Here is a 12,171-nt window from a genome sequence, read left to right as displayed (position 1 = left end):
CGGATCACTTGAGATTGGGAGTTTGAGACCAGCCTGGCCAACAGGCTTTACTAAAAACACAAAAATTACCTGGGCGTGGTGGTGTGTGCCTGTAATCCCAGTTACTTGGGAGGCTGAGGCATTAGAATTGCTTGAACCCGGGAAGTGGAGGTTGCAGTGAGCCGAGGTTGTGCCACTGCACTCCAGCCTGGGTGACAGAGTAAGACTGTGTCTCAAAAAAAAAAAAAAAAAGAAAGCTTATAAAGTGACTTTAATAATGACATATGATAAAGCATATGAAAACAATAAAATTGTTGCATGAAATCTGAGTTTACAACATGAGGTTTTAAATATCATAACATTACATGACTAAGTAAATATTATAAGTAGACATATGGCTCTTTCATCTACATTCTCATATATATATATTGACCAGACATGGTAGCTCATGTGTGTAATCTCAGCACGTTGGGAGCCAGAGGCAGGAGGACTGCTTGAGCCCAGGAGTTCAAGACAATCTTGGGCAACATATCTAGACCCTGTGTCTACCAAAAAAAAAAAAAAAAATTAGCCAGATGTGGTAGTGTGTACCTGTGGTCCCCCCTACTCAGGAGGCTGAGGTGGGAAGATCACTTGAGTCCAGGAGGTTGAGGCTGCCGTGAGCCATGATCACACCACTGCACTCTAGCCTGGGCAGTAGAGTGAGACCCCATTTCTAAATACACACACACACACACACACACACACTTATACATATATGCTGTATTAGTCAATTTTCACGCTGCTGATAAAGACATACCTGAGACTGAGCAATTTACAAAAGAAAGAGGTTTAATGGACTTACAGTTCCACATGGCTGAGGAGGCCTCACGATCATGGTGGAAGGCAAGGAGGAGCAAGTCACATCCTACATGGATGGCAGCAGGCAAAGAGAGAGTTTGTGCAGGGAAACTCCTGTTTTTAAAACCATCAGATCTCATGAGACTCATTCACTATCAGGAGAACAGCATGGGAAAGACCTGCCCCCATGATTCAATTATCTCCACTGGGCCCCTCCCACAACACGTGGGAATTATGGGACTTACAAGATGAGATTTGGGCGGGGACACAGAGCCAAACCATATCATATGCATATATATTCAAATTGTCCAAAAGGCTTTTGTTTTGTATTTTTTCATGGAGCTACTGTCTTATGTACATAATTGTCTTATATTTGGGCAGATAAGGCACTCCATGAGCCCTGATGTAGACTGGCAAATATTTGCACTCAGTATTAATGGATCACTACCTATAATCATAACAAGGAAAAGGCTGGGCTAGTCAGATGAAAGTCTAAAGGCTGACCCAGCCCTGCTGTATCCACAGAGCACATCAGATGATGAACAATGTGCCTCCTGAGCCTGAGTGAGTGTCCGTTGTCGATGTTGGACTACATTGCCCAGATCCCCGGCTTTAAGAGATCTTTGCCCCATGTGCTGGGAAGGTTGTAGGCTGACAGCTCTCAGCTGTCAATCCTCTTTGGGAATAGCCTAGGCTGAAGAAAGCTTTCTTGTCCAAGGACATACCCCCTTTCCAGGATAGCCTGCAACCAATGACCAGTTGCCATTGTATGGAGGCTCAATCCCAGTGCCCCAGTTCAGACCAATACTGAAGGAGCTGCCTGTGGGACTGAGGCCTTGCAGTGACTACACTGCAGCTTAATTCTCCCTCTTCCCAACCTTCCTTCTTTCCCTTCCTCCTACAGATGTTAATCTCAAATGCACTCCCCAAATAAATCCCCTGCCTGCCAATTTCTGCCTCAACAGAACAAAGGAACTCATGCGGTTTCAATAATCTTTTAAAAGCCAATTTATCTACAATGGAAAATCCACATGTTCTAAATAGCCATAAAGTTGTTTGTGGATATCAAAATTCAGAGAAACACTGAAATAGATAGTTTAATAGGCAGAACAGTAAAGACAGTCAGAGACTGATTGGGAATGAACTTCAAGAATTTTAAGATTTTTGAGTGAGTATAGTGCTATAGATGACGTGGAACTTGGTACACTCATGAATTGAGGAGGCAACAGCCACTGGAATATAGGTGTGAAAAAAAGAGTGAGGCAAGGATTTAAACAAGTTCAAAGACCCTGGAAATGACTCAGGGACCTGTCAGAGAGGGGAAGGCTCAGCCATTTTTGATAAATACAGAAAATGAGCAGTAATTATATGCATTATTTCATTAATTCCTTGACTATTTTATTTTATTTTATTGATTTATTTTTGAGATGGAGTTTCACTCTTGTTACCCAGGCTGGAGTGCAGTGGCACGATCCCGGCTCACTGCAACCTCTGCCTCCTGGGTTCAAGCAATTCTCCTGCCTCAGCCTCCAGAGTAGTTGGGATTACAGGCGTGTGCTACCACGCCTGGCTAATTTTTGTATTTTTAGTAGAGACAGAGTTTCACCATGTTGGCCAGGCTGGTCTCGAACTCCTGACCTCATGATCTGCCTGCCTTGGCCTCCCAAAGTGCTGGGATTACAGGCATGATTCCTTGGCTATTTATGAAGTCCTTCTACCATGTTAGCCTCTGTCCCAGCAGATGACACCATGAGGACCTGTAAGATGCTGCGTAGTTGGATGATGTGAGGCTGAAGAGAAAGAGACGTTCACGTGAAGGTAAAAAATGATGGTTTGGCCGGGTGTGGTGGCTCACACCTGTAATCCCAGCACTTTGGGAGGCCGAGGCGGGTGGATCATGAGGTCAGGAGTTCAAGACCATCCTGACCAACATAGTGAAACTCTGTCTCCTCTAAAAATACAAAAAAATTAGCTGGGCACCGTGGCAGGCAACTGTAATCCCAGCTCCTTGGGAGGCTGAGGCAGAAGAATCACTTGAACCCAGGAGGCAGAGGTGGCAGTGAGCCGAGATCATGCCACTGCACTCCAGCCTGGGTGACAGAGCAAGACTCCATATCAGAAAAATAAATAAATAAATAAATAAAAAGATGGTTTGGCAGCCGCGCAATGAGAAGATAAGAGAATATGGAGCTCATCTTGCCCTCATCCCAGCTCCAGCTCCCTGCACGTCCTCAAGGGAGAGCAGGCTTCGGTTATAATCAGGAAGCAGGGGAAACATTTGGTAAAGGCTGGAATATGTTAGGAAATTTACTTAGCATTTTATAGGGATTCCAGAGGATGAAATGGGGGGTTTGGGAGAGAAAAGAGTGCCCGTAAAAACACTTCCATGCCATTTAAAGAGTGTGATGATGAAGTTAGGGCTGAGATATTCTAGCAATCAATATTGAGACCAGTGATGTTTATTCATGATGGTGTGAGGGTAAACCAGATAACTGAGAGCCAAAGATGGACCTAACCCAATTAGGAAAATGAATAACACAATAGCAGGCCTAGTTTTTATAAATTATGCACACCGATAGGAATAACTTAAGAGTACAATGATTTACTTATTCAACTTAAATTGCTATGAGAATAACCCCTTAAAGAAAAAGATGGCATTATAACATTTAGCATGATGCAACACTATGGTGTTATGTGGTGTAGTTACTGAAGGCAGTAACAGACCAATCTAAAAAGAGAGGCTGTGGTATGAAAATCATTCTGAACTCCATTAGACAAATGGCTGACTTTTCCATCTCCAGAAAGTAACAAATAGGAGAAACAAGGACAGACAAGACAATCAAGAGATTACAGCAATGTAGGGTCAAAGGAGAGCTTCCTCTTCGCCCTCTGAAGGTTTGCTTGAAAAATCAACTCACAAAAGGCAGTTTAATGGGACAAAAGGCAGACAATTTATTTAACACACACACACACACACAGAGCCACGCAGTGACCATCCAATGGGGTTTGGAAGCTTATATGCCATCCTGGCTGGACATTATGGGAAGGGAGCGAAGAGGAACTCTGTTGACGGGATTACTAGGAAGAATGAACGGATCAGGGAACAGAGATTAATTTGTTCATTTTCTTGTGAAAGGGTCTGTTCCAGTATGGTTACCTTCTTGGTCTTAGAGGGAGGAGAAGAAGGAACAATGGTTCCTTCTGGTGGGTCTGGATCTTAGGCAGATAAAGCTTTTGAGAGAGACAATGGGGTGGAGAAGGTCAGAGAGACCTTGAAGCTTCTTCAGTTCAGTATGTCAGACCACCATATTTTAGGGTATTGGGTTTCTGAGCCCCAACGGTAACATTAAGAGAAGGAAAAACGTCAAAAAAATAATTGTTGTAAAACAAACAAAAAATTAAAAAAAAAAAAAGACCGTTAAAAGAGAATGTAGCATAGAGCAAGAGGCATGTTTGGAAAAAGTGATCACCTTTTAGGAAGTTGCCAGTTGGTGGGATCCTACCTAAGCAAGCATTCCCGGGTGTGAGACCATCACTTTGCCTTTGAGATGCCAGGGGTTAAAATGGCATCTCAAAGAAAAATGTATCAAGTGTGATACATGAACGCAAAAAATGTAGAAAATGTAAGGCATTGTTCTTACATTTTCCCCCCTACCTTTGTACACCATCAGATTGGTACTTTTCATGGTAATAAATTCGTGGTTGAGAGTGGGCATGGAGTGGCCAGAGAAAGGCTGTCTCAGTCGCATTTTAGAACCAGCATGTTCTTTGATTTTTAAATTTTTTTTTATTTTTCAGGCTATGCTTCAAATTTTCTTCCTAGAATTTTTTTTTTCTCTGTGCAAGTTATCTTTAAATAATAAAATCTCTTTCCCTCCTAGTATGCAATGCTCGTAATGACTTCAATGAAACATTTAGGTCCTCTGGAGCCCAGGACTGTTTTGTGATTCACATCATTACAAAATATGTCCCATTAAGATGATGCACAAGCTGAACGGGAGTTAATGAACCTGCATTCTTGCAGGATAATTCAAACTTTAAGGGTGATATTAACTTAAATAAAATAAGAAAGGGAAGAAAAATCAGGTTCATTGTACACCAGAGATCATGATCTTTATCCTCTCAGTTCATAAAAGCTTATCCGTTGCTCAGTTACTCTCATACCATTATTAGCGTGGTTGTAGAGCACATATATGTATATAATTAAGTGCCCCTCTGTGGCCATTAAAGGGCTGCCTGCGTTTCCGCAGGGAGCACACGTGGAAGTTGATTCACAAGCTTATAAGAGTGTGTCAGTACCTTTCACCTTTATGACATGCTGCATGGAAATATGTGGCATCTGCCACTTATGATCCAAAGCAACAGTGGGGAAAGTATGGCCCATGGCCAAATCTGGCCCACCACCTGTTTTGTAAATAAAGTTTTATTGGAACACAGCCACACCCATGTATGTACATATTGTCTATGGCTATTTTAGTCCTGCCACAGCAGAACTGAATAATTGCAATGGAGATTGTAAATGGCCCACAAAGCCTGCAATATTTACTATCTGGCTTTTTAAAGAAAAGTTTTTGCTGGGTGTGATGGCTCATGCCTATAATCCCAGCACTTTGGGAGGCCAAGGTGGTGGGATCTCTTGGGTGCAAGGCCAGCCTGGACAACATAGTGAGACCTCATCTCTACTAAAAAATAAAAATAATTAGCCAGGCATGGTGGTGCCGGCCTGTGGTCTCAGCTGCTCAGGAGGCTGAGATGGGAGGATCCCTTGAGCCAGAGAGGTTGAGGCTGCAATGAGCTGTGATTGTGCCACTGCACTCTAGCATGGGCCGCAGAGTGAGACTCGTCTCAAACAAACAAACAAACAAAAAACAAAATGGCCAGGGATGGTGGCTCATGCCTATAACTCCACCACTTTGGGAGGCCAAGGCAGGAGGATCACTTGAGGTCAGGAGTTCAAGATCAGCCTGGCCAACATGGCAAAACCCTATCTCTACTAAAAATACAAAAATTAGCCAGGGATGGTGGTGCATGTCTGTAATCCCAGCTACTAGGGAGGCTGAGGTGCAAGAATTGCACCCGGGGGGCAGAGGTTGCAGTGAGACGAGATCACGCCACTGCACTCCAGCCTGGGTGAGAGAGAGAGACTTCGTCTCAAAAAAACAAACAAAAAAAAGACATGGTTTCACCATCTATTTGGTCTAAAGGCAAACCTTTGCTCTATACCTGTTGACCAAATACATGATTGTAAAATGAGTAAAAGCTGTATTAAATTAGGGAAATATGTAGTTCAGAACACAATATTTATATTGCCTATGATATCAAGGTTCTAGGAGTCACTTGACCTACTGAGGAATATTAGTCTTTTTTTAAAAGCCTACACTTGGTATTTTAAGCTCTTCTTTCGTTGTCAAGAAATTAAATAAATAAATAAAAACAATAGCCACGAGTTTTTGTGAACCCTCCTGAAACACAATGTCTCGTGTTCCCCTTCTGGCTCTGTGGCAGCTGTTAACTATCAAATACTATTTCTAGAACTGTGCTGACATCAGTCGATGATGATACACAAAGCTGTTTGGCATGACACACACTGTGCAAGTTGAGGCTGTTAAAATGAAACAGCTCTGTTAAAATTAACTCTATTCACATCGCAGGGAAAATATCTAAGTTTGCCAAATCAATTCCTTCCTATATCAGTGGGGAAGAACCATTTTCCAACCTCTAAAAAGGTGATTCAGACACAGGAGAGCAAAAAAACCTCCAAAATTAAAATGATAAAACAAAAATTTGCTTGACAGCAAAAGTACTTCCAAATGGATGAAATTGAATCCAAAATTGTGCCTGCAACAAATTTAACTGACAAGAAAGTCTGCATAATGGACTTGGTTTTATTATTAATGCTAATATGGGTACATTTTTGTTCTATTGTGCTGATAGCAAGAAGATAAATGCCCACCGAAGGCACTAAAATATCTCCACTCGGTTGAAATACTGATTATAGTTAGAATGCAAACACTTATTCTTCGCTTGTGAGAAAGAACCATTTTTTTTAAAAAAAAGAAAGTGTTACTATAGAGGCCATTTCAGAATCAGGTAGAGCTTTGAAATAGAATTTCTTAAAATAATGTCATGCAACACTTAATGAAGAGTTTCTTTGTAAAATTTTAAATTATGTAGATATAACTTTATCAAAATGATAAATATATTCATTGCATGATTTCTAATTAGCACTTCTTTAAAATTAATAATTAGCCTTACAGAGTCCTTATAATCAGGGGTTGAAGTTTACATTCAGGAAAACTAAGTCTAATGGTATAAATGATTTTTTTTTTACCAGCTCACCTCCCCCTGAAAATCGGTGCTTCAGACTCTCTCCTTCCCTGAACCCCAAGTCACAGGGGCAGCCAAACAGGGATTGAGAGTCATGAGGATTGTGCCCAGGAGTATCTGGCCAAGGGTGGAAGCTCCACAGTTGTTTGCAGTCAGGAGGGCCAAGGGTCTGGAAGCCAGGGAGTTCAGGCCAAAGCCACGGTGGTGTGTCAAGCCAGTAAATCAGTTAATCTGAGAAGCAGCAATTGGGTTTTGGAGATCAAGACTAGTATAAGGTCAGAAACTCCAGGAGGTTAGTAACAGCAAGGAAATAGAATGTAGGCATGTCAGCCCTGAAGGCAATTTCTATTTGTGCTTGCTTTTAGGGGACCTATTTATGTTCCCCGTGGCAGCATGCAGGGTACGGGTTACAGCTGCTTTAAGAGTGAAACTACTGTAGATAAACCTTGAGCCTAGCTGAAGCTAGCCTTCAATTACAAGAATGCTGTTGGACAGACCTCGGTCATGTAGAGATTATTTGAATGGCAATTACCCCTGTACTCTAAGCCTGTACTAATCATTCTAAATTCTCCCACTACTTGCCTTCCCCGTTGATTCATTTAGTTAACCTTTCTCTACTTTCTAGATCACTGATGCCTACGGTAGGCAGAATGTTAGATGGCCCCCAAGATTCCCTGCCCCACTGGTGGATATACCCCCTCCCCTTGAGTGTAGCAGGATCAGAGAATGTGGTGAGATGTCACTCCCTTGACTAGGCTACTCATCAGTTGACTTGGAGTTAATCAAAAAGGAGCTCTATCCTGGGTGGGCCTGATCGAATCAGGCAAGCCCTTTAAAAGAAACTGAAGGTCAGAGAATATATGCTGCTGGCCTCTGGAAGAAAGAAGCAAGCTTTGATGTTGTGAGAAGAGGAGGTCACATGGTAAGGACCTGAGCATGGTCTCTGGGAGCATTAAGCTGTCCCTTGGTCACAAAGATGCAAGGAAATGAATTCTGCCAACAACTACTGAGCTTGGAAGATGACCCCGAGCCTCAGAGGAGATCCCAGTTCACACCTTGATTTCAGCCTGGTGAGACCCTGAGTAGAGGGCCTCGCTAATCCGTACCCAGATTCCTGACCTATGGAAACTACGAGATAATACATTTATGTTGCTTTAAGCTGCTAACTTTGTAGTAATTCATGCTGCAGCAATAAGAAACGAATGCCCTCTCCAATAAAACTTTCTGTGATACTGAAAATGTTCTATATTTGCTTTGCCAATATAGTGGCCACTAGCCACATGGGGCTACTGAGCATTTGAAATGAGTCTAGTGTAAGTGAGGAACTGAATTTTTTATCTTATTTAATTTTAATTGCCGGGCACGGTGGCTCACACTTGTAATCCCAGCACTTTGGGAGGCCAAGGCGGGTGGATCACCTGAGGTCAGGAGTTCAAGACCAGCCTGGCCAATATGGTGAAACCCTATCTCTACTAAAAATACAAAAATTAGCCAGGCGTGGTGGTGGGTGCCTATAATCCCAGCTACGCAGGAGGCTGAGCCAGGAGAATCACTTGAACCTGGTAGGCGGAGGTTGCAGTGAGCTGAGATGATGCCACTACACTCCAGCCTGGGCAACAGAGTGAGACTCCGTCTCAAAAATAATAATAATAATAATTTTAGCTAATTTAAGCTTGGGTAGCCATAGCGCCTAGTGGCTAACCTACTGGACAGCACAGTTCTTTTTTTTTTTTTTTTTTTTTTTTTGAGACAAAGTCTTGCTCTGTCGCCCAGGCTGGAGTACAGTGGCGTGATCTTGGCTCACTGCAATCTCTGCCTCCCGGGTTTAAGCGATTCTCTTGCCTCAGCCTCCCGAGTAGCTGGGACTACAGGCACGTGCCACCACACCCAGCTAATTTTTTTTATTTTTAGTAGAGACGGGGTTTCACTATGTTAGCCAGGATGGTCTCGATCTCCTGACCTCATGATCTGCCCGCCTTAACCTCCCAAAGTGCTGGGATTACAGGCATGAGCCACCATGCCTGGCCAGACAGCACAGTTCTAGATTAATAATAATGAAGACAACAATCCTTTGATTTTATGTTTTTGATCATAAATAGCTCTCTTCTGAGTTCAATTTTTGAAACTTAATCTTAAAATCTCTAAGAAGACTATATGAGAAACCACACATGATCCAGCCCTGCTTCCTCTCTGGCGTCAGCTCATTCCCTTCTCCAAACCACAGTTTCTTCCAGTTATTTGAGTGCACCAAGCTCTTTCTCACCTGAAGTCTTTCATACATGCCTCTTCCTTCATCAAGACACTCTGCCCTGCATTCTTCATCTGATACCTATTTAACATTTAAGTCTCAGCCCAAATGTCACTTTCTTGTAGAACTCCTTGGTATCCTGTAACAGTTAGCTATTGCTGTGTAACAAACTATGCCAAAACTCAGTGGCTCAAAACATGCATTATTGGAGTTCTTGCATTTAAGCCTGTTTCACACATGTGCCTGTGAAATGGCTGGTTGCTCTGCTTTTTTTTTTTTTCTGAGACAGATCCCACTATATTGCACAAGCTAGACTTAAACTCCTGGGCTCAAGCGATCCTCCTACCTCAGCCTCTAGAGTAGATGGGACTACAGGCGCTTTAACCCAGGATTGGCTAGAGTACATTAGCAGGGATAGGTCAGTTCTATGTGTCTCTCATCCTCCCGCTAAGACCAGCAGGCTAATCTGGTGTATTAGGTCATTCCTGCATTGCTGTAAAGAAATACCTGAGACTGGGTAATTTATAAAGAAAAGAGGTTTAATTGGCTCACAGTTCTGCAGGCTGTACAAGAAGCATAGCACTGGTATCTCCTTGGCTACTAGGGAGGTCACAGGAAACTTCAATCATGGTGGAAGGTGAAGGGGGAGCCGGCATGTCACATGGCCTGAGCAGCAAGAGAGAGGGAAGAGGAAGGTGCCACACACTTTTAAATGACCAGATCTCACAAAAGTGTACTCATGATTGAGAGGACAGTACCAAGAGGATGGTGCTAAACCATTCATGAGAAATCCACCACCATGATCCAATCACCTCCCACCAGGCCCACCTCCAACACTGGAGATTATAATTCGACATGAGATTTGGTGGCGACACAGGTCCAAATCCTATCGCCTGGACATGTCCTTCTCATGGCAATGGCAGAAGTACAATAGCCAGGGATAAATACATTTGGACTGTTGAGACCTAGGCTCAAGACTGGCACAACATCACTTTTGCCTTCTCCTATTGGTCAAATCAAGTCAAAAGGCCAAAGCCAGAGTTAGAAGGTAAGGACACTACCCCTTTTGGGGGAGGGGCTGCAACATCACATGGCAAATGCCTTGGATACAGGGAAGGGTGAAGAATTGGGGTCAGTGATGAAATTTTCCATATTTCCTTCATTCAGATTAGATCCCACACTCAGTATCTCATAGGAAAGACTTTTCTTTCCAGGTACTGGTACTTGGTAATTATGTATTTACTTGTGAGATTACTTGTTTACTGTGTTAGTCTGTTTTCATGCTACTGATAAAGACATACCTGAGACTGGGAAGAAAAAAGAGGTTTAACTGGGCTTACAATTCCACATGGCTTGGGAGGCCTAAGAATCATGGTAGGAGGTGAAAGGCACTTCTCACATGGTGGCAGCAAGAGAAAGTGAGAGAGATGCAAAAGCAGAAACCCCTGATAAAACCATCAGATCTTGTGAGGCTTATTCACTACCACGAGAACAGTATGGGGGAAACCACGCCCATGATTCAAATTATCTCCCACCGGGTCCCTCCCACAACACATGGGAATTATGGGAGTACAATTCAAGATGAGATTTGGGTGGGGACACAGAGCCAAACCATATCATTTACCTACCGTTCTCCCCACAAGGCTATGAGGTCACGATTCATATTTATTTTGTTCACTGCTGTGTCACAGTACCTATGACACTTAATTACTGAATAAATGAATGAATAAAATGTCGGGAGAACATTTTTTAAAGTTGAATATGCTCTGATGAACAGGATCTGATGACAGATCGTTAAAAGTTAAGCAAGATTTGGTAGCTATTATCAGAGCATGAGGAAGTATCATTTAACAAACTAATTTATGAAAGTCATGAGACGTAATTGAAGAATGGAGGATGTGTGTGTATACATACATTTAAAAAATTACGTGAATATATGAAGGCAGAGGAGTCAGAAGGAAGAGAGAGAGAGAAGGGAGGAAAGGAGGGAGGAAGGAAGGGAGAGAGGGAATGAGAATTGACAGGTTATGGCAGTTAGAGATCAGGTATCCTAAGACTGATCCTTGGAACTATAATGCAATTTCTTCTACTAGTCAATGTGTGGTTAACCAGAATATGCCTCATGTAGGTGCCAGTAATAGAATAATAGACTCTGTATACATAACACAGCATTGTTTACCTTGGAAGGTGCTCCTTTCTAATTGTGCAGCTATCTCTCCAGAGGCAACTGTACAAATAGTCTTAAGACCCAGTACACATATCATCCACTTTGTATTTGCAGCCACATCGAATGTTCTTATAAGCTCTATTTTTTCTCTTTACCTCTTGGACCATGCACAATCTCAAACATTTAACCCCCTGCCACCATCTCTCATGGCCATCCTCCAGTTATTGTGTTGTCAGGAAGTCCTCAGCAGGATTTGCAAAAGGCCTGTGGAAAGGATCACTGAAATATTGTTGTTGCCCTTGCTTTAGTGCTGTGTTGCTGGGATGAAGGTGAAACTGTCTCTGATTTTCATTGAACCATAGAGAATATCAGAGACAAACACAAGTTTTTGGTCTGCTGCCAGTCTAGTCTTAGATTCCAATAAAGATTTCATATGTTTCTTAATTTTATTTGCATGCATGACATATATATGTACACATGTCCCCCCCCCCCTTTTTTTTTTTTGGAGACAGAATCTTGCTCTGTCACCCAGGCTGGAGTGCAATGGTGCGATCTCGGCTCACTGCAACGTCCGCTTCCCAGATTCAAGCGATTCTCGTGTCTCAGCCTC

The 12,171-nt window shown here is 42.6% G+C and overlaps 2 annotated features.

The window, feature by feature from the left end:
- Positions 479–676: a silencer, noted in NCBI's record as "fragment chr14:90132444-90132641 (GRCh37/hg19 assembly coordinates)". NCBI's record gives its function as "represses an EF-1alpha promoter that drives an FKBP-Casp9 reporter gene in an ReSE screen in HepG2 liver carcinoma cells and K562 erythroleukemia cells {active_cell/tissue: HepG2 | K562}" and the evidence as "EXISTENCE:reporter gene assay evidence [ECO:0000049][PMID:32094911]".
- Positions 7,457–7,566: an enhancer, noted in NCBI's record as "active region_8870". NCBI's record gives its function as "activates an Ori minimal core promoter by ATAC-STARR-seq in GM12878 lymphoblastoid cells {active_cell/tissue: GM12878}" and the evidence as "EXISTENCE:reporter gene assay evidence [ECO:0000049][PMID:35858748]".

This window comes from Homo sapiens, chromosome 14 (assembly GCF_000001405.40).
Source record: "Homo sapiens chromosome 14, GRCh38.p14 Primary Assembly".
NCBI lineage: Eukaryota > Metazoa > Chordata > Mammalia > Primates > Hominidae > Homo > Homo sapiens.
This window is presented reverse-complemented; position numbering and strand designations above follow the sequence as displayed.